The sequence below is a fragment of the Homo sapiens genome, chromosome 2 (assembly GCF_000001405.40).
Source record: "Homo sapiens chromosome 2, GRCh38.p14 Primary Assembly".
Taxonomy (NCBI): domain Eukaryota; kingdom Metazoa; phylum Chordata; class Mammalia; order Primates; family Hominidae; genus Homo; species Homo sapiens.
Genome location: NC_000002.12, coordinates 131033730 through 131055075, shown reverse-complemented (window position 1 = coordinate 131055075; position 21346 = coordinate 131033730). Strand labels below are relative to the sequence as shown.

At 55.4% G+C, this 21346-nt stretch overlaps 3 protein-coding genes across 22 annotated transcripts in view, besides 1 other annotated feature; 1 reads left to right on the top strand and 2 right to left on the bottom strand.

The window, feature by feature from the left end:
* The window catches only part of FAM168B (family with sequence similarity 168 member B), a 45585-nt gene extending 38385 nt beyond the window's left edge, over positions 1-7200 (top strand). For all 13 annotated transcript variants that reach the window (NM_001321746.2, NM_001321745.1, NM_001009993.4 and 10 more), the window contains 2 exons: positions 2061-2185; positions 2624-7200. In NM_001321746.2, coding sequence (NP_001308675.1) covers positions 2061-2173 — 113 coding nt within the window. In that variant the 3' untranslated portion in view covers positions 2174-2185; positions 2624-7200. The remainder of the gene's footprint in view (positions 1-2060; positions 2186-2623) is intronic.
* A 622-nt stretch (positions 7201-7822) lies between these two features.
* Positions 7823-21346, bottom strand: part of ARHGEF4 (Rho guanine nucleotide exchange factor 4) — a 210340-nt gene continuing 196816 nt past the window's right edge. For 7 of the 8 annotated variants that reach the window (NM_001367493.1, NM_015320.4, NM_001375901.1 and 4 more), the window contains 9 exons: positions 16044-16223; positions 14884-15060; positions 14636-14815; positions 13614-13846; positions 13132-13261; positions 11493-11624; positions 10534-10777; positions 9630-9707; positions 7823-9038 (listed from right to left, as the gene is read on the bottom strand). In NM_001367493.1, the coding sequence (NP_001354422.1) occupies positions 8887-9038; positions 9630-9707; positions 10534-10777; positions 11493-11624; positions 13132-13261; positions 13614-13846; positions 14636-14815; positions 14884-15060; positions 16044-16223 (1506 nt within the window). In that variant the 3' untranslated portion in view covers positions 7823-8886. Of the gene's footprint in view, positions 9039-9629; positions 9708-10533; positions 10778-11492; positions 11625-13131; positions 13262-13613; positions 13847-14635; positions 14816-14883; positions 15061-16043; positions 16224-19787; positions 20077-21346 lie in introns of those variants that run through there. The other variant, NM_001395416.1, reaches the window with a different exon arrangement.
* Positions 12449-13321: an enhancer, noted in NCBI's record as "H3K4me1 hESC enhancer chr2:131799328-131800200 (GRCh37/hg19 assembly coordinates)". NCBI's record gives its function as "activates a minimal SCP1, AML or CMV promoter by ChIP-STARR-seq in naive H9 embryonic stem cells {active_cell/tissue: H9 hESC(naive)}" and the evidence as "EXISTENCE:reporter gene assay evidence [ECO:0000049][PMID:30033119]".
* On the bottom strand, positions 19814-19984 carry SMIM39 (small integral membrane protein 39). Its single transcript, NM_001414894.1, has one exon. The coding sequence runs from the start codon at positions 19982-19984 to the stop codon at positions 19814-19816; it is 171 nt and encodes a 56-aa protein (NP_001401823.1).

Genomic DNA, 21346 nt, shown 5'->3' with positions numbered 1-21346 from the left:
CTGAATCTGATGGACTCGCTTTGTTGGTGAACTGAGCCATTTGGCAATGCAGGATGTGCCCCCTCTCCTCCCACCCCCTATGACCATGTAAGACTTGAGTAGAAGGAGGACACTTTGTGTACCGGGGTTGCTCTGGCCTTCTTCCTTTCCCTTGAGGGGAGCTTGTCTTTGCAGGTCAGTTGTCTTCATCGGGATGTTTTCATGCATCTAGGAGAGCTGGTCTTGCGTTGATAGAAGAAACAGCTGCCTGTAGAAATCCTTTGGCATTCATCTACCGTACTTTACTTTGCAAGGCCTCCTCTAAGGAAAATAAACCATGGAAAGATGAGGCCCCTGGCTGGGATGGGCACATCTCCGCGGAAGCCCTGGGGGTTTGATCTGATGTCTAGGGATTGGGTGACCACCCAATCTGTATGACCACCCATGTGGATTCACCTCCTGGTCTCTGGGTCAATATGACCACCTTTAGGTCATGCCCACACAAAAGCGTACTGTTCCCTCCTTGTTTTTCTGGACTTGACTTCAGTGTAAGGAAATTATGCCAGAGAGAAAAGCATTCCGGGTTATTATGTGTGCTTCAATGTAGACTCTGATTTGGTTTTCCCCATACTTATCTGTCAAGGAACAGGAAACTGGGCATAGACAGAAACTGCTGGTTTGAGGCACAGGGAGGGAGGGCAGCAGGCACCAGGTTGGGTGCCACTGTGTTGGAGGTGGTGCTGGTCCATAAAGGGACTCAAGTAGTTGTTGAGTTTCTGCAGTTGTAGGAAAAATAGATTTCTCTTAAAGAACTCAGAAGCTCATGTAGTTTAGAATCCTCATTTCTTTTTTTTTTTTTTAATTTTAAAATTTTTAATATTTTTTTTTAAGACAGGGTCTCATCCTGTCAGCCAAGATGGAGTGCAGTGGTGTGATCTCAGCTTACTGCAACCTCTGCCTCCTAGGTTCAAGTGATTTTCCCACCTCATCCTTCCCAGTAGCTGGGACTACAGGCGCCTGCCACCATGCCTGCCTAATATTTTTTTGTACCTTTTGGTAGAGATGGGATTTCACCATGTTGGCCAGGCTGGTCTCGAACTCCTGACCTCAGGTGATCCACCTGCCTCGGCCTCCCAGAGTGCTGGGCTTACAGGCGTGAGTCACTGTTGCCAGCCTCTTGTTTTTTATTTATTTGTTTTTACCATCTTAACTTTTTTTTGTTGAGACAGGGTCTTGCCCTTTTGCCCAGGCTTGAGTGCAGTGGTGCGATCACAGTTCACTGTAGTCTGGAACTCATGGGCTCAAGCCATCCTCCCACCTTAGCTTCCTGAGTAGCTGGGACTATAAGTATGCTACCACACCTGGCTAATTTTAAAACTTTTTGTAGAGCTGGGATCTCACTATGTTGCCCAGGCGCATCTCAAGCTCCTGAACTTAAGCTATCCTCCCACCCCAGCCTCCCAGAGTGTTGGGATTACAGACATGAGCCCCTGTGCCCAGCCCATCTTAACCCTTTTTAAGTACGGTTCAGTAGTGTTAAGTATATTCACATTGTTGTGAAACAGAGCTCCAGAACGTCTTTATCCTGCAAATCTGAACTCCTGTACTCATTAACGCTAATTCCCTGTTCTACTTTCTTTCTGTCTCTGAATTTGACTACTCCAGGTACTTCATCTAAGTGGAATCATTAAGTATTTGTCTTTTAGTGACTGGCTTCTTTCTTTCAGAATTATGTTCTTAAGGTTCATCTATATTGTAGCATGTGTCAGAATCTCCTTCCTTGTTAAGGCTGAAGCATACTCATTTGTTTATCATCTGACCTATAAAAATTATTGGGTGTGCTTTATGAAGGGGACACACAAAAGGCTTTTACGAACATATTGTCTGTGGAGCTTGCTGTGTGGAGACAACTTTTGGGTGTGGGGGATTATCTAATCAGAGTTCTGACAGTATCTGGGTCAAGACTATCCCTCTTCCTGTATACCCTCCTCCTTGCAAAGAGGCCAGGCTTGTGTGCGTATCAGGCAGTGTGGAGCTGTGCAGGAGGTCAGCCTCATGTCATGTGCTGCTCTTTCTTCCAGGTACCCTGCTGACTGCTCACTCCCCAACTCCTGTCGCCCCCCACCCGGTCACTGTGCCCACGTACCGGGCCCCAGGAACGCCCACTTACAGCTATGTGCCCCCTCAGTGGTGATCACCTGCAAATGTAAGTGACCAGGGAAGGCTGGGCTAGCCTTTGATGAAAGGGCATTTCCATGGGACAGTGGCAAATTTACCACATATTTAAGCACTAACGAGGAAAGTGTGCCTGACCCTGGATCCAGAGGCAATGTAGTGTTTAAATTTTTTGTTTTTATTGAGACATTACAGAGTAGAAGGAAGGAAGGAACCATTGAATACCTACTGTTGACACTGTCCATCTTGAGCCTTGCCTGGAATGTGCTCTAACCCCCCACCTGCCTGCTACAGGAAATAGGGCTCCAGTTGCAATTGGGGGTCTCTAGGAAGGAAGTGAGAACCAGGTCCAGCAGTTTTGCCCATTGCTGCCCTTTCCGACCCTGCTGGGCCTCATCCTACTTGAGATTTTGGAATAGCGGTGCCGGAAGAGCTCTGTGTGACTGAGTGTCTGTCTTCCTTTCTGCAGGTTTGAGGACGGAGCTGTGCAGTCACATTATTGGGGATTCCACAGCTGGTGCTGCAGGCCTTGCGCCTCCAACCAGGACTTTCTTCTTAATGCTCTCGACACTTAGCTAAACACGACTATATCCCGGCCCAGCAGGCCCCAGCGCCGTTAGTCTCCAGCTGACTCTGTGGGTTGGTCTTAAAGCAAATTCTGTTTTGTGGACTGCCTGGCAATTTTTTAGCTAACTGTAATGATAAAAAGGGAGTATTAATCTATTCTGAATCATATCTAGTTGAATGCATGTTTAAAAAAACAAACACAAAAAGCTTGCTCAATCTACCTGCAGTGACTGATGCAAAACCATCATATGCAAAATCCAAAGGAATGGAAACGTATTTTACAACTTGTATCACTAATGCACTGTTGTAATGTATGCAAAGTCTTACAGTTATAAGTGTTAAAGTGAATTTCTTCATAGAGCATCTGAAATATCTTAGATGATTCTTCAACCTTTTGGGGTTGATGTGGGTTGCCAGTTAGGGATGTGGACATTTTAGTTTTCAGCGACCTGTTTCTTTGGCACTGACTGTCCTGGGAGGGAGTTGCGAGGTTTGGGAGAGAGTAGGGAAGCCACAGCTGCTTGGGTGCAGCTGGTTCATGGACATCCCTTTGAGTTTAGGCTTGGTGGAGTCAGTGGAACAGGGACATGCTTAAAGCTCATCATGAAAGATTATGGTAGTGTGGCCAGTGAAATTTGGGGCGAGGGGGGTGGTTTATGTGTCAGCAAAGCAGTTTCTCTGCTATCTAAATTTTCATTACAGTTCTCTTAGAGAGATGATGTTTTTATATGTCTTTATTGGAAAAGTCCTATGTAAAACTAAATTATTTTCCTGGGATGGAAGAAATGTGAAAGAGAAACAGCCATGCTTGCAGGAGGTATTGTCCTCTGCTTTATTTAGCTTAGAAAATCATTCCTTTTTTTTTTTTTTTCCTGGAGAAATGTTTGAATCAGCTGAAAACAGGTAGGCATTGCTGTTTTTCCCCAACAAAGAAGGGCAAAGGTTTCAGCTGTATGTTATGAAGAAAGTGGTATATTTAAGAATGAGTTAAAAGGGAACAAAACTTTATTTAAAATTCCTCCAATTTCTTGTAGAAAGGCAGGGCCGTGGATATGTCTGGAAATGTAGAAACCTGTAGCTGCTTCTGGGATCACCCACCTGATGGTGGTGACTTGTCTGCTGAGGCCGGCTGGAGGGGACGCTTAGAGATGGGGCGAGGGGGAGGCCAGTGTCTGTTGTCTGCGAGCCTCTCCTGCCATCTCTTTTGCAGCTGAGGGCACTTGGCACAAAGCAAGCACAGACAGCAGAGAGGGCCAGGCAGTGCTGGAGTGCGTTTGCTGGCAGGGTTTATTGTGGGAGAGGAATTTGAGTTTAGGATCTGAATCTTGTACATAAGAAATGAAAAGGCTTCCCTCCACCCCGCCCCCAAAATATGCCCGTCCTGTATCCATGAGAGTGCATGTCGGTTCTCAGTGAGGGTCAGAGTGGGGGTGGGGGATGTAAGGCCTGGGTCCCTTTCAGCGGCCTCTAGGGCAGGAGCGTGCGTCTTCTTCCCAGTGCAGTGGTGGTTTGAGTGCTGTGGGCTCTGGTGGGGAGGGGGCTCTGCTCCTCTTCATTTGCTGGTAGCTGGGTCAGGGCACTGGCGCCCAGTGAGGATGCCCACTAGCATTCTGCCCCAGTTGGTTGGTGGGGGGACACCTGACCACTGAGCCTTTGGTAACCTTATTTTTTATAGTAAGTACTTCTTATAATTTTCTTTTTCACATCTTATTTTATAAGAAGTTTAGGAATATTTTTGCATGGATCATTGTAAACAGCAGATTCTTTATTCCTGATGTCTATTAACATAGAATGTTTACTGATAAGTACTTTAAATTGCTTCATGAGCACTTAATCCATCTTAGTGTCTATGTGTGGGGGCAGACATTTACCGCAGGCACACAGTTTGTGCCCCTTTCTTCAAGTCTCTGTTGGTAATTCCATCTGTTTAGTGGATGGTTGGCAGGATTAGTAGGTTCTAACGGTTCCAGGGGTTCAGCTGACCAAGTAGCAGAGAAGTCTTTTTTCCCAATTGAGTGCTAATAGATTAGGATAAAATACTCACAATGTTAGTGTATGCTTTTAAAAAGCCCCACACAACAAAATGGAAACATACATGTACAACTCCTGTGAGGGCTGGAGTCTTGGGGTTCAGGAGGAGGTTAGAAGTTACAGGCATCTCTTCAGGCTTGCTTGGTACTTGGCACACACAGGATGGTGTTTTAAAGAGTGGGCTGCACCCCCCACACGCCATTTACATCAGCTTCATAAACACTTTTCTTCCTCCCTGTAACTTAACCTTTTTTCCCTTTTATGAAGTTGAGAGGCTTTATGAAATAAGTTTGCATTGCACATCCGTGCAGAAATCTTTCTGACTTTGAAATTTTTAGGACGTCAGCTGTCAGATACGAAAGGTAGATATCAGGTAAGAATCTGGACTTAGGAAATAGTCACAAAACTGTCATAGGTTGTAATTTTATCAACATTCGCTTCTAGTAAAATTAAAGTCAATTAAGAAATAGAACTTGGGTCAAAATTCTGTTACAAAGCTTCATAATTTGTCCCGAAGCATATGGTGGAGCATTCTGAGAAATTTGCTTTTTGTGTGTTTGACATTCCTAATTTGGGAGTCCTTCAGCTGAATTACTATTCTTTTAGAAGTTGAGACAGCAGGTAAGCAAAGGACCTAGTTCATGTAAACATGGACATCATGATGGCTATTTAAAAAATATTTGTTCTACACCTTCTCCCCTGAGGCTTGGGGAGTGTGTTCAGCCGCTGCAGTTTCTCTGCTCATGGAGGTCTTGTTTGGATCTGTGCTGGCGGCTGAGCATTTAGTGTGAGCCAGTGACCCATGAACTTGCCGCTCTGTGAGGGCCAGAGTCAGGGCCAGTCATGGTAATGGGCCTGAAGGCACTTCCAGAACCTTTTATGTCTCTCGTGAGCCATCTGTTAAGAACGTTCTTCTTGGTGTGGTTTGTAGGCCTACCTGTCGCTATTCTGGGAAACCTTCTTGAGTGCTATGCAAATGTGTTCACAGGCAATGGGGGTGGTCCTGAGCCTTGGGGTGGGCACCTGGTCAGTGAGTGTCTTGCCCTTCCCCAGCTGGGCATACAGTACCTTGCTCTTTCTGGTGGCATCATCTGGCTGTGATGAATGAGGTCTAGGAAATAATTTGCATGTGTCTTGGGGGACACAACAGTAACGAGAGGAAATACATTATTACAGCAACTTGCGACGTACTAATACCTGTCAGTGTTGGCCCCCGTAAGGTATGTAAGGCACCTGTGAGTGCCAGTGAGTGCTGGTGAAAGGCCAACATGTACTAGTTATGTAAGTATTGGTGTCTGCTTTAAAAAAGGAGACCCAGACTTCACCTGTCCTTTTTAAACATTTGAGAACAGTGTTACTCTGAGCAGTTGGGCCACCTTCACCTTATCCGACAGCTGACTGTTGGATGTGTCCATTGTCGCCAGTTTGGCTGTTGCCCGGACAGGACAGGACCTCCATTGGGCGCAGCAGCAGGTGGCAGGGGTGTGGCTTGAGGTGGGTGGCAGCGTCTGGTCCTCCTCTCTGGTGCTTTCTGAGAGGGTCTCTAAAGCAGAGTGTGGTTGGCCTGGGGGAAGGCAGAGCACGTATTTCTCCCCTCTAGTACCTCTGCATTTGTGAGTGTTCCCTCTGGCTTTCTGAAGGGCAGCAGACTCTTGAGTATACTGCAGAGGACATGCTTTATCAGTAGGTCCTGAGGGCTCCAGGGGCTCAACTGACCAAGTAACACAGAAGTTGGGGTATGTGGCCTATTTGGGTCGGAAACTGCATGTTTCAGAAAGTTTGTCTCTTTTTCCTACTCATTATTTGAAGAAGAGAGAGCCTGTGGGGATAGCCTTATCTTGGTCCACAGGACTGAAGTGAAGTCACTTGGGAAGGGGAGACAGAGGATGAGCGGCGTCTGTGTAGGGACCCCCCCCCGGGCCTGCAGAAGGGTGGTGTGCTCCCAGGACTGGCATGACAGGTGTCTCCTCCTCACCACAGGCTGTGCCCATGAGTCCCTGTGCAGACCAGTGGGCAAGGCAGCTGGGCCAGATCTCAGGCCAGCCGTTTGTGCTCCTAGCAGGGTTGCTGTGCTGGCCACACGGAGAGGCCCTAGAGAGCCTCATGGATTGTAACTAAAGAAGAAACGGTTCCTTTTTGTTTTTTTAAAAATGATTTTTAAATACCGTTTTTTACACCGTTCTCTCGGTACTTTTTTTAAGCTAAGTCAGCATTGTCTTCCAGTGTTAAAGGCATCCCTCACCTCTGCATTGAACTTACGTATCCATGCCAAGGAATGGAATTTCCATCCTGAGCCAGTTCAGTTAGGTGTCAATTGATACTATTTTAATTTTTTATGCAATCTGATGAGATGAGCTCAGATTTAAAAATCTCAAAAGCACGTTTATTGTAACAAGAATTGTTATGTATTAATACTGCAGTTTTCAATAAAGATTGACTTGTGTTGCATATTGTGGTTTTCATGATTTCTCCATATGGGTTTTTGTCTAGAGGTAGCATGGCCTGACTGGGAGGTGCTGGGGCTTCTCTCAAGTTGGGAGATTGCCAGGGGTTTTGAGAAGAAGACCACCATGGCGTCCAGCCCCAGTGACCTTGGCAGTGCTGGAGTGTGGTGGAGGCAGCAGGTTGCAGGGGACCATTTTCCCAAGTGGGACAGGGAGGGAAGCAGCACCATGCTCCCCTTCTGGCTTCTGTGGCCAGGGTCAGAAGACCCTGGGAAGACACGTTCTTCCTCATTTCACCAGGGATGCTGAGGCCCAGAAAGATTACTGACTACTCACCCACCAAACTCACGTGGGCCAGCTCCAGTCAAACAAACACAGGGAAGCACTGGTTTCTGGGTCTTGAGTGCAAGGGAGGGCAGAGCTACCTGTATTCCCCATCAGCAACCAGCATGGCCTGGCCCTGCTCGCCTTAGGCGAACAACTGCAGCCAGCCCCGCCTCAGCCTATCATCTCCACTAAATCCCCGAGGGTGTGATCTGCGACAGGTGAGCCCCCACCCCACCTTTAGAGGCTGCTGGCCACAGGAAAATGCACGCACACCCACAGAAAACGGGCTAGCAGCCAGGTTACTTTTCATAAATTTATTTATGAAATTAAATGTGGTTTCTGGCTTGGAGAAGGAATAGTGCAAGAGTGACTGTCCATGCTGCTGAATCCTGTGGGCTCCACGCCAGCTCGCCAGGCCCTGGCTCTGCTCCTGGCGCCCCTTGGCAGGACAGGGCGCCATCTCCACACACCCGCTGCCTGGGCTGTGGGTCAGTCCTGTGTGCTGAGCCACAGAATTCGGTCTCTCTCTTATGGCTTCTCACGCTCACGAGCGTAAGGCAATCTTCTGTGTCACTAAGAATCAATTCTTTTTCTCCATTGTTTGTTGTTAGAAAAACAAGATGCCAAAATCCAAACAAAACCAGGAACGAGGTGGTTCTGGAGCTACCGCACAGCAGCAGGCAGACTGACCACACTCCCGACTGGGAGTATGCAGCCGACTGCACCGTCTTGTCCTTTTCCGCTACACACACACACACAAGTGAAGAGGGTGTCCAGCAGCCAGCGGTGTCTTGAGGGGCTGGGAGGCGAAGGGCGGGCTCCGGGCGCAACACAAGGGTGTGGAATTCCTGGCTTCTGCCCTCCCAAGTGGCAAGCTGCCTGGCACCACTGGCCGGGCTGGGGACTTGGAGAACTAGAGGGCAGAGGGGCACATGGCCTGGCATTGCAGGCCACAGAAGGCCAGAGAGTCCTGCCCAGAGGAAATGAAAGGAGGATTAGGTTTCCAGAGAAGAGGGTCCCACGCAGGTAGCGCCTTCTCCCCAGCTGGGCCTGGGCTGAGCTGCGGTTTCCCCGCTCCAGCAGTGAGGCCCTACACAGGTCCAGAGGGCGGATGGGGCCCAAGCTGCAGCGGCGGTGTGGCGAGTGCGGGGTCTGCCCCCTTGCTGGTCTCTTCAGGGCACCAGGAGCAGGGAAAAAGACAACAGGAGTACAGACCTGGCACGTCTTGGTGGCACAAGCAACTCCCCAGCCCATCCCTGCTCACTTGCAGGCAGAGGAAGGCCAGGCCGAGTGGGCCTCGGGGAAGAAAAACTGGGGGCCACTGGCAGGAAGGCCCAGCAGGTGCTGTCAGGCAGGGACCAGTTCACTTGCGGAAGGGTGCCAGCCGGCTGATGCTGTGCCAGAAGGTAGATGGCTTGCGCCTGGGCTCCGCCAGCACCAGGACCTGCTGCTGGGGCCGGTTGCTGGGCAGGGCTGGGTGCTTCTGGCGCGTCAGGTAGCAGGGCCGGCCAACAGCTGAACAGGGAGAGACAGCAGAGGGTCATGGGTGCCCAGGGCAGAGTGCCACCCCAGCTGTTGGGGACAGCATGGGGTCCGTCCCAGGGCTCTGCTTCAGAGCCGCCGTAGGAGGCAGTTTTGCCACACAGGACTTGCTCCTGGAGAGCTGACCACATCCAAGAGCTCAGGCTGCCTGGGGTCTCTGGCCTGGGCCTGGCCTCCTGCAGCAGCCTGAAGAGGGGGGTGGCCTGTGCAAAGGCATGTGATGTTTCAGGGGCATGGCTCTCTGTAGAAATGGGGAAAGCAGCTCCATCCCTACACCAACCCCAGATGCCTGTCAGGAAGGAACCCTGGGGAAACAAGCATTGTCACCAATGGCCCTGATCTGGGGGAGCCAAGGTGTTGAGAGTAAGAATGTCAACCATATACTGACCCAGGCTTCCCCAGTGGCCCCTTATTACCAACCTTTGGGAACAAACAGCTGCAAAGGGCAGTGGGCCCCCCTCAGGCCTGGTGGCTAGCTGGCTTGGCTTTGTGGTTCAGAGAAGGGAATGATGTCAGCAGGGTAAGGACCGGGCAGCCGAGGAGGTGGGGCTGCTGTCCGCCTACCTTTGGGCTTCCCTGTGACCTGCTGCTTGCTGGCATTCAGCATGGCCTGCTTCCTCTGCAGTTCAGTGATGGAGAAGCCTGAGGAAGGGGCACAGGTGAGGGCGCTGCCCCACTTCGTGGCCCCAGGTGCAGTTCCCTGCACACCTGCACCTTCCTGGTGCCCAGGGTCTCATCATGTACTGGGGACTCAGTACTGGCCACAGCGGGGACTGTTGCCCATTCTGCACAGTCAGCCTGCCTTGGCCAACCAGGGCAGAGGGCATGCTCTGGTGTCCTGTCCTGGGGCTCCTGGCAGAAAATGAAGATCCCCGAGTCCTTCCTCTGCCCACCCATCTCTCACCTTCACTCCATGTCTAGTGTCTTTTCCACTGCAGTGGAGGCTCCTTCCCAGACCAAGAGCCGACCTGGTCACTGTGGCGGGTAATGTGGGGGCCCGTGGACAGGAGGGAAGGTGTAGTGGGGAGATGTCTGCGTGCATGGGGCAGGGGAGGCTTCTGAGGCCAGTACCCACAGCCCACTCCAAGGCTCTCCCAGGGCTTTTGCTGGCTGGAAAGGGGTCCCGCAGGTCCCAGCAACCCAGGGCACTGCGCAGAGGACCCCGTCCTATGGAGTGTGTGCACATGTGAGCGCGTGTAGTGAAACAACTCCCCAAAAGCCAGCAGACCCATGCCTTGGGGCTGAACTCTGCGAAACTGTATCATGGGATGCGGTCAGGTAACCCTGCCATTGAGGTGATGAAGGCAAAGCCTTATGCTCATGACTGGGACCTAGAGGTGCCTGGAGCCTTGCTACACCCTGCAACCTGAGAGGGCTGAGCGGCGCTCTCCTGACCGGCAGGCGGCCAGGCAGGCGGGAGCGCCGGGTGGGCCCTGGGGGCGGGGCAAGGCCCAGCAGGGTCTCGAACCTGTCTCCTGGTCCAGCTGCACCTGCTCCCTCTCCCTGGCAAAGGCCTTGAGCCAGCGCTGCTTCTGCTCGGGCTTCCTGGTGCACAGCAGGTGGCTGTCCCCTGTGGCGCCACGGTGCAGCCGGAAGGCGTTCTTGATGCTCACATGGAGGTCTCTGTCCTTCCCGTCCTCCAGGTCCACCACCTCCAGGCCGTCCATGTCCAGCCGGCCCTTGTAGTACAACACGTCGCGGCGGAGCAGGTCCTGCCAGATGCTGGCCTCAGCCCTGGCTGCTGAACCGCTCCCCTGACCATTTCCTGGCTGCTCCCACCTCCTCTCCCCAGCCATAGGAGGGGCTGCTGGTGATGCCTCCACCTCCCCAGCAGACAGTGAGATCCTGAGGGCAGAGCATGCCTTCTGCAGCCCACAGACATGCTGAGCCATGAGTGGAGAGGCCTTGCTCCTTTATTTTGCAGGTACTGACTAGCCCGGGGTTGGCCCTGTCTTTGAGGTGGGGAGACTAAGACAGTGGCTCACACCACACGTAGGAAAGATCACCCGTGGACAAGGAGGGCTTCATGGACATGAGGCCACTGGGCCATGTTTTGAAAGAGGAGCAGAAGCCGGCAGCGTAGAGGAAGCTGGGAGGTGGCTAGAGCAGGGGACTCCGGGGTTGGAGAGAGGGGATGTGGAGGTTTGCAGGGAGAGAAGAGGTAGCTTGAGGAGCAAGCAGCGGCCAGGTCAGGAAAGATCATGCTCTCAACAGCACCCGGCCTGGTCAGACTGTGAAAGCCGCCTGCTGCTCCTGGGCCACCAGGCTCACCTGCAGAGAGCCACCCCATCCCAGCCCCAAGGGTCTGGCCAGGCTCCCCGGGTATGGTCTGGCTGGCACCTGTCTTCTGGGCAGCTGCTCCCAGCCCTCAGCTCCCCTCCCTCCACTTGCTCAACTTGGGGCAGCAGGGCAGAGCAGCTCTGGTACCTTCTTACAGTAGATGAGCTGGTGGTCAAAGAGAAAGAACATTCGCTGCTGGCTTTTGGCTTGAGGCTGTGTAACTCGAGTCAGCTCCCCCGAGTAGATGAGTTCTGAGCTCCTGACCAAGAGATCTTCTCCCTGGGAAGATCCCAAGGAGAACCATGAGCCTCGCATACCCAACCGTGGGCTCCACTTCCTGCCCCCATCATGGGTGGGTGGCGCACCTCCCCCTGGCCTTGCCTGCAGCGCCCACCTGGCCAGGCCATGGTGGGAGGGGGAGGAAGAGGTGGCACGTCTGGCCTGTGAGTTGGCTGTCCTTGCAAAATAGGAGCCCCCTGTCACCAGTGGCCTCTGGTGGCTGTTGGGCACTGGAAGTGTGGCTAATCCATATTAATTAGATGTGATGTCAGTGTAAGATACATATTGATTTTGAAGACTTCATATGAAATAATGTAAAATATTTCATTAATGATAGTTGATCACAAGTTGAAATGCTATTTTGGAGTTAAATGAAACATTATTAAAATTAAATTCACTTGTTTTTTTCCCTTTTTAAAGATGGCTACTGCATAGCATACGATTCCATATGTGGCTCACATACTAGTTTGATTGGACAGTGCTGCCCTAGAGAAGAATTAGGCCTGTCTGGGATTCACCTCTGAGGCCAACCTTTGAGATCTCTAAGGAGGCCCTCTTCCCAGCTAAGTGCACTGAGTACCTGAAGGTCCATCATCCACCCTTGGGCTTCATACTTTTAGACTAAGCCCTGCCCTGGTCTCATTCTACCTTGAAAATGCAAACCCCAGCTGGGAGTGGTTGGCGGTGGCCTGTTTGGGATGAGTGACTCTGGAGGGCCCTGAGCCAGGGCTGGGCCTCACAACTGCCCCTATTGCTCAGCCCCGCCTCACAGCTGACTGCCCCTATTCCTCAGCCCCGCCCCAGGGCTTCTGATTCACTGTGTCTAGGGTGGGGCCCTGGAATCTGTATTTTCATAATGTTCTGTGGCTGATACTGATTGATTTCCAGGCCATTTCTCTCGCTGACAGCTGGTGCATGGTGGTGGCAGCACCCATGTGGGTAGGGAGCCTTCGGGAACAGATCAGGAGGTGGCAGATTGGCAGATGCAAGTGGGGGTGGGTGGAGGGGGACAGGAACATCGTCATTAGTTCTAAGGCAAGATTGGCAGATGCAAAGGGAAATGTGCAAGTCAGACAAACAGAACCAGGAGGCTCTGATGGGTGGCGATGCATTTTTGGTCATGCTGTGTTGGGCCTGCAGCCTTCTGTTAGGAGTCCCAGAAGTGAACTAAAACAGGGATCTGGCCTGTCCCCTGAAGGCAGAGGAACAGAACACAGCTGAGGAACACACTTCCTCTGTTGAGGGCTTCTCCTGGGCTGGCTGGCTGCTCATGGGAGGAGTTTCACATAGAAAAGAGGCCACCAGGTGCCAAAGCCTGCTACGGTAGGCAGCAGCAAAGGTCCAGAGCCCACGCTGGGGACAGGCTTTCACACCATGAGCATCTGTTGCTAGCTCCCAGGAGCGCAGCTCCCTGCTTCAGCTCCCTTCTAGATTTTTCAGGGGCAAGCATGATTTTAAAGCGAGGGGCCAAGACCTCCTGGAATTTTCTGTGCCCCCAGGCCCTCACCTCCCAGTCCTCTATGGAGCTCTGCCACTGAGCAATCTTGTCGATGTTCTCAAGTCTCCGCTTCCGCTCGTTGATGAGCTGGGCCACGTTCTTCATGGCATGCAAGGCGGCTTCAACATCCTTGAAGTCCCTGGGGCAGAACAGAGATGGAAGGCTGCTGCAGGCTGGAGACAGAGAAAGGGTGAGGATCCCCTGCAGCCCCCACGTGTGGAGCTGCTTTCCTCTGGGGCTGTGCCCTTTGACCACATCCTCACTATCAGATGCACAGCCCCTCTCTTCTCCATAAATGGCAAGCACAGAGCAGAGCTTAATATCCTGTTGGCATCCTCTTCCCCCATTGCAAGGAGCTCATCAGGACAGGGCTAGTTTTCTGTGTGTTGCCCCAGGGCTGCAGCAGTGCCCAGCACACTGCTAATGCTCAAACTGGCTGACTGGAGGCATGCAGAGGCGTGGGCTGCCTCCCTGCCTCAGTGCCCTCCTACCTGTGCTGGGGGTGCGTGTATTTGAGCAGCTCGGCCAGCTGCAGAGGGTACTTGCAGATCTTCTGCACCGGAGTCAGCAGGAAGCCATCCAGGGAGATGTCAATCATCTTCTGCAGCAGCCGGCAGGCCTCGAAGAAGTACACGTACTTGCTGAGCTTGGTGAGCCGGGAGAGCTCCACGCAGGCGTTGGGGTGGTTATTGCAGTACTCCGAGTAGATCTGGAAGTCGGCTTGCTAAGGGGCACAGCTGGAGGTTAGCAGAGCTCTCTGCTGCTCCCACAGGCAATCCAGCTGCATGTGTGGGAAGGGCAAGAGCCTCTACATTTCCTTCAGGAGCTGGGCTGGGGGCTAGGGGAGACCCAGGCTGTGTGTACCTATTTCCCTGGGGCATAAGCTACATGGAGTCACACACAGGGGTGGGAATGGTGAGAATATGAGCAGGTGTCCCGGCTGCACGCTAGCCTTCTGGGTGAAATCCATGATAACAAGGACGGGATAACAATGCCAAAAGCGGCGGTGGTAGGGGGTTGGGTGGGACAGGCATCCTCTGCTCACCCTCGCTCGACTGCCCAAGAGGGCCAAAACAAGGCCCTTCTCTACCAGGTGAGGCTAGGAGGTGTCCACTTAGAGCGGCCCAGTGAACCTTGGTAAATGCCAGCCGGCATCTGCCGCCTAAGCAGGCTGTAAATTCTCCCTGTGTGAGAAACCCCAGAGCTCACTCTGAACAGCCCCTGCGGCGCTCGGCAGGCCTCTGCCCTCCTATCTGTCAAAGCAAGTCCTTCCTGGGGGACGCCCCAGCCCTCTGCTCCCAGGAGCGTTCCCTGACTTGGTTTCGCCACACAGAAGCAGAGACCATCCTAAAACTGTCCTGAAGGGTGCGGGCAGCGGGGCAGATAGAGGGCTGGAGCTGGGGCCCAGGCGTTGTGGAAGGTTTTGGGACCAGCCACCCGCTGTCCGCGCTGGCGCCCGCGGCAGCCTCTGTGAACGCAGCGCCCAGGTAGGGGCCGGGGGCCGCGCGCTCACATGCTCCAGGAAGCAGGCACCCAGCTCGCTCAGGTGTGGGCGCTCGCGGTTGAACCTCTGCTCCAGGGCCTTCACGAAGGCCTTCTGGCAGCGGTAGATGTCCTCGATGTTCCCGAAGATGGTACGCAGCTGCTCCTCGCTGAACATGTCTGCGCGCTTGCGGCACTGCCGGACGTAGCCCTGCGGGCGGACGTGGTTAGGCCTCCCCCGACCGGGTCCCCAGTCACCGCCCGCCGGCCGGGCCTCACCTCGCAGATGTCGCGCAGGTGCTTGATGTAGTCCCGCTCAGTGCTGAGGATCTCGTTGATGACGTTGGTCCGCATCTGGTCCTTGCTGCTCTGCGCCTCCGCCCCGCCGTCCTCCGCTCCGCTGTTCCCGGCCAGAGGGGCGTCGTCATCCGCGGGCTCGTCCTGATTCACCCTCAGCTGCAGGCCATGCGTGGCCGGTCAGTGCCCCGCATCCCTCGGAGCAACGCCCCGCGCCCTGCGCCGCAGCGGCGGGAACCGGGCCTCGGAGGCCCCGCAGGGTGTACGGGGCGCAGGGCTGAGGACTGGCCGGCCAGCTCCCCCCACCACGCCACCCACGCAAGTCCTGGACCGAGGAATGACGACTCCGACGCCCGCAGCCGCCGTCAGTGTGATCCGAATACCGATTTGGCCTCCTTCCTAGACCCTGCTTGTGCCCGGCACAGAGGCTGGAGCGCTTGCTGCAGTTCCTGAACCAGTGCCTGCTCCTGCCAGCCCCAGCGGGCAGAAGCAGGGGGATGGGTGGCGCGCCCGCTGGCTAACATGCAACTTGGGGAAAGGCTTAGGGTGCGGAGTGGACAGTTTCCCAGGGGATCTGGGGCAGGAGGAGCATCTGAACACCAGGGCCTGGGACCTCCCCGCCGGACGGCCCTCAGCTTGGACGCCCTGAGCCAGGCCTTTTGGAGACTGCACCTGGATTCCTTCCTTGAAGACTGGAGACCCCCTTAGATGGAATCCAGGTCCCCTCTCTGCTATCTCCAGGGCTAATAACTTGACCGTGCCTCAACTTCTTCAGGTGTAAGTCATGGTTCCCACTCCCGGGGCTGTGTGTGAGGTGAGCAGTCCCCTATCAGTGCTCTTCAGGGCTTGGGAAATGTCTAGCGCCTGGAGTTGCGGGGGTATCGCAGAGGGGTGCCTAGTGTCTGCACACACTCATTTCTCGACTGCTCTCCTCTCTGGCCCCCGAGGGCTCACCAGAAGAGGAATGGGAGCAGGAGTAGTGGCTCTCCAGGAGGAGGAAGGCTGTGACACTGCGCCCCGACACCCACCACCCAGTGCTCTGCACCTAGGATGCCAGAGCTGTTTTGGGCTTGGATTTCTCTGCAGAACCAGGTAGCTTTTTATGGGCCCAACTTGGGAGAAGCTGGGGCTTGGAACCATACCCGAACGAAGCTGGCTGGAAACCAGCCCTCGCCATCGGCGACCCGGCCCCACCACCACTCTCTGTTGGTGGCATCCATCACTTCGATGACGTCCCCAGCTTTGAAGCCCAGCTCCTGGTCGTCCATGGTGACATGGTCCCAGAGTGCTTCAGCGCAGACCACACTGCCATCGCTGATGAGCTGCCGAGAGAGCCACGGGCAGGCGGGTCAGTGGGGGAGGCTGCCTGGGCCTCCCTGCTCTCTGTCTCCACTCCCTCAGCAGCCCTGGGAAGAGGGGATCCTGACTTCTTTACAGAGGAGCTGACAAGGCTGCCTCTGACAGGAGCAGGGCTTTCCTGGGGCAGGGGCTATGTTCTGGGCATGTCTAGATTATCAAGGCTCAGTGATGGAGCCGGAAGTGAACTGACCACAGAATCTGATCCTGTCACTGGGACTGCCAACTGCTCCCTGTTAGCATTCCCAATCCAGAATTCCTGGGGGCTGCAAGGCTGCAGGAGGGAGGGGCTGGGCACTGCAAGGCTGCAGGAGGGAGGGGCTGAGGGCTGCAAGGCTGCAGGAGGGAGAGGCTGGGCTGCAAGGCTGCAGGAGGGAGAGGCTGGGCGCTGCAAGGCTGCAGGAGGGAGAGGCTGAGGGCTGCAAGGCTGCAGGAGGGAGAGGCTGGGCTGCAAGGCTGCAGGAGGGAGGGCCTGGGGGCTGCAAGGCTGCAGGAGGGAGGGGCTGGGCGCTGCAAGGCTGCAGGAAGGAGAGGCTGAGGGCTGCAAGGCTGCAGGAGGGAGAGGCTGGGCTGCAAGGCTGCAGGAGGGAGGGGCTGGGGGCTGGTGCCCTCCTGTGGGCTTCTTGTGGATGAGCATTGCCTGTAAGGTCAGCCACCAACCACAATGCCCCTTCATCCAGGTAGACAGTGCCCTGCCATTGGAGTGATTGGAGCTTGTTTACTGTGTGTTTTTCAACACTTGCAGAACCAACCTCATGGCACCCCTGCTCCCATCCCAAGCCCCAGAGATGCCAGCACCAGCTGAGCAATGCCCCTTCTTAGAGCTCTAGGTCCCAAGCCCTGTGATCCTAAGTTTGAGTTAGTCCAACCTCTTCTCTTCATTTCCCAAGTTCTAGGAGAAGCAGAAACGTTTTGCAGCTGCTACCTCTGTGACAGGCACTTCAGGACTGCTCTTATGCAGTGTTACCCAGTCAACCACATTATACCTAGCCGACCATTCTTCACATGCTTCTCTCTGCTCAAATAACCAGCAGAGTGCCTTGCTCCAGAGTGGTGTGGACTAAGACACTGGACGCTCCCCTGCCTCTCCCAGGCAGCCCTTGTACGCCATGGGGCTGACCCCTGCTTTCTCCTAACATGGGATCTGTTTCTGCTCCCTGAATGATGAGCAGTTCTAGGGCCTTAGGGCAGGAGAGGAGGAGTGGGCTGGGGCTGCACAGGAGGTGAGGTCCACGACCCTCCCTGCTAGGACCAGGTGTTGGCACTGGCTGTCACAGCTGTGGGGGCGGTCAAGGATGGGAATGTCACAAACAGGCCCTCCTCTGAGCTCCCATCCCAGGAGCCCTCCTTTCACTTCACTGGGTACTCCCTAAGCACTGTGTGAATCCTCACCTCAACATGGAAACCAAGAGTGGGGCCAGTCCTGTGTTCCAGCTAAGAGGCCTCTGCCTGAATGGGCAGGGTGAGGGCTGGGGCTGGCCACTGGAGCACTGAAGCTCCAGAGCCTGCTTGGGATGGTGCTTTCCTCCAGGGGTCCTGAGCAAGCAAGTTCAGGGAAGGACAAACCTTCTCTTTCCTGGGGGTAAAACCTGCTCCAGTCCTGATGGACGCTCTCCTCAGAGTGACACATGAGCCTGTGAGCCCAGGAACCCTCACAGCGCGGCAGCCACGCGGGGGCTGCAGACCTCCAGAGGCCTCCACGGGGTCCCAGGCACAGAGCCCTGGGTTATTCCTGGGGGCAGCAGGCTTCCACAGGGGGCCACTGCTCTCATTCCCAGCCACAAAGACCTTCTGCAGGTGGCCTCCAGATCATGAGCTGCTGCTGCCACTCAGATGAGATGAGACAGGAGGGCTCAGGCGACCATATGGTAGGAGCCCACCAGCCACAGTGGGGAGCTGGCTCACCCCGCTGAGGCCCTGAAGAATGAGGCTCCAGGGAAAGAAGGAAGCAGACATGGCGGTCTGGGGACACCAGTGAGAGCGTGAGCTGTAGGTGACATGGCCCTGACCTGGGGTCTGTGACACAGGCTGTCAGGAGGTGACCCGACACACTCAACATGGCTCATTTTCCCACTGCTTCCCTTCTCAGGAGGTTCCTGCCTGATATTAACCAGGTGAGGTGTCACCCTCTGTCTCTAGGTTCCCTTAAATGAGCCCTGAGCAGAAGCCTGGTGCCCCCATTCCCCTTTCCTTTATGCTGCCTGTCCCTGCAGGTGGGACTGGGTCCGGCATAGGTGGCCCCCCACATAGCTGCCAGGGAAGGTCACCAGGTGTCGGGCAAGAGGAGGGCTTCACAGAGAGGCCAGCTTCCAGGCACCATTAGGGACAAGCCCCACACTTGTCCTGCCCAGTCAGCTGGAAGACCTTGGGGAGGAGGGGAGGAGGTGTTAATTGCCTTTGTCGCACCCTGGCAGAGGGACACGTGCCGTGAGCAAGCTCTCCTCCTGTGTCTCCCACCAATGTAAGGATGTCAGCCCCTTCTGCACAGCCTCCCACTCGGGAGGTACTCTAATTTAGAGTTAGGAGAAATGTGAACTGTTTGTGTTGTCACCAAGACAAAATGTGGCTCTGTGAGGTCAGAGACAGTTTCGTAGGACATCAGAGTCATGCTCCACCTCCGATGCTATTGCGCTGGGTGCGTTTCTGGGCAGAGGCCCTTTTTGGTGCTCGTAGGCACAGCTGCACCTGAGCCAAGACACAAGCCAGGCAGGCCCAAGGGGCAAGGAGTCCAGGCTGCCTCTCTGCCTGCAGGGAGCGGAGACTGACTCTTGAGACACAGCAGGGCTGTGAAACTGGCTGTTCTATTGTGGGAGAAGGTCCCAATGGAGGTGCACATTTGAGACTCAAATAGCCCAGGGCAGGGAGCGGGATCCCCTCCTGTGCCTCTGAGGTTCTGACAGCCTCCAGAAGGGCAACGCTGCCAGGCTCTGCCTCCAGCTACTCCCTGTGACCGCCACTGCCCTCCCCACCCTGCCCACCTACCAGACGTGCAGGGTGGGGGCAGCTGTGAACACCCGCAGTTTGTGCAGCAGGGGTGGGGGCTTCAGAGGGCCCACGTGCAAGGGGGGCAGAGGGGCTCTGCCCGTGGGAAGACTGACACCACGTATTTTAAGGCCTAAAACGGGAAAAACAACTGCAGGTAACATGCGCAGCGGTGCCCGGGGGTCTTCCACACACCTGACTCAACCTACACAGATGCAAGCGCGGGTCGCTCACCCAGCGGTCACATGCACTCCGTTTCCAGACAAGCAGCCGGGGAGCCCCAGCTGAATCCGCATCCTCGGTTACTCGCAGAGACGCGCCATTTTGGCCTCCCCCCTCGCCCCCGCAGCCCCCACTCCCCACAGGGCACAGAGGACAGAAGGACCCTGTGACACACGTGCCACCACGCCCCTCAGGCACCCGCTCGGCGACACCCCCGGACCAGGCCCTGGTAGTGAGCACATGGGGTGGAAGGAGGCCTTCCCTCCGCGACCAGTGCGGAGGCCGCGGGTGGCAACGGCTGGAGTGCCGTCGCCCGCGCCACTCACCCCGGCGCGGCGCCCTGCGCGGCCGCTCAGCGGAAGGCCAGCAGGAAGATCAGTACGACGTTGATGAGAACCAGGAGCGCCAGCACGGCGGAGACCACCACGCGCTGGGCGCCGGGGGGCAGGTTGCAGCGCAGCAGGGCGCGCAGGGCGTTCCCGGGCGCCGCGGGGCCGCGCCGGGGCTGCGGGGCCCTCGCCATGGCGCCCGGCCTCCCGCTCCGTGCGGCCCCGAGATCCCGCCGCACAGGGCCGAGCCGGTGGCCCGCAGCGCCCGGGGAGAGGCGGGGCGCCTGCGCTCGCGGGCCTGGGGCTCCTCCCGCGAAGCCGGCGCCGTGCGCGCGGCGCCTCCCAGGCCCCAAGCCCTGGCAACCCTGGCAACCAAGCCGGCTGTGCGGGCGGGGGCGGCGGCGGCGGCGGGCTGGAGAGGCTCAGAGGGACCGCGGCGGCTCGGGCGTGCGCTGCGCTGCGCCCTTGGCACCTCCTTGGAAAGGGTCGGGAATCTCCACGCCGGCACAGCAGTCCTGGCCCTGGGCTGGCCAGTGGCACAGATGGCCACGGGGGCGCTCGGGGATGCCCCGGGACCTCCTCGTTTCAGAGATACAGAGGCCAAAACGCCTGGCACCGGCGCTTTGGGGAGGGATGGGCCAGGGACTCTGATTCCTTACAAGGACTGGCCGCAGGCCCCCACTTCACAGATGAGTAAACGTGGCTCTGAAAGGTTAGGGATTCTGCTCAGTCATAAAATCGCGCAGGAATGCAGGGATGGCGGAGGCAGGATTTAAACTCCGGTGGGAGCGATCCACCCTGAGGGGCCCCTCTTCACTGACCGCAGCGTCCGAGCAGCATTGTGTTCCTTTGGAAAAGCCAGGCGTCCAGGGCTTCCTCTGCCTCCACTCGACACAGCCTGCAACCTTAACCCTGTAGGTTTCAAAGCTCTTGTGCAAGAGCTCTCATTCTATCCTTAAGAATGACAGCCCAGGTACAGTCAGTGTGTCCTTCTGAGAGATAAGAAGACTGCAGGGGAGAGGGCTAAACACTCCGCTCAGGCATGGGCAGAGATTTCTGGGCAACAAGCTCAGTGCTTTGAATCCTGGAGCAAGAAGAGTTCCTGGAGGGCAGGGAGGGGCGCACAGAGGGAATGTGTGCAGACTGGGTGTTCCCATGGGAGTGACTTTGTATGCTCTGATCTCTCTGTGTGTGGCCAGCTCTTGGCCACCCCTTGCAAAGATAGGTGAGTGTACCCTGAATGTCACCATCCTGTTGACTGTAAAGCAGAGTGGATGCCACATGTGTGTGCATGTGTGTACACAAGGGGTACCTGTGTGTGCATGGGCATAGGCACCTCTGTGTAAGGGGATACCTCTGTGTGTATATACATATGGGTACCTGTGTGTATGTGGGTGGGGTTTCCATGCATGTGCCTATGTACAACATGTGGGTGCCCGTGTGTGTGTGCAGAGAAGTGTCAGGGATGTGTCCAGAGAGGCTGTGTGCCTCCCTCACATCTGAAGGTTCAGCCTGGGCCCATCCGCCTGGTGTACTGCTCATGCCCAGTTCTTTAG

Bases quoted from the DNA above. Each gene is read 5' to 3' on its own strand.
- SMIM39 (NM_001414894.1), bottom strand. From the start codon at position 19,984: ATGGCGAGGGCCCCGCAGCCCCGGCGCGGCCCCGCGGCGCCCGGGAAC.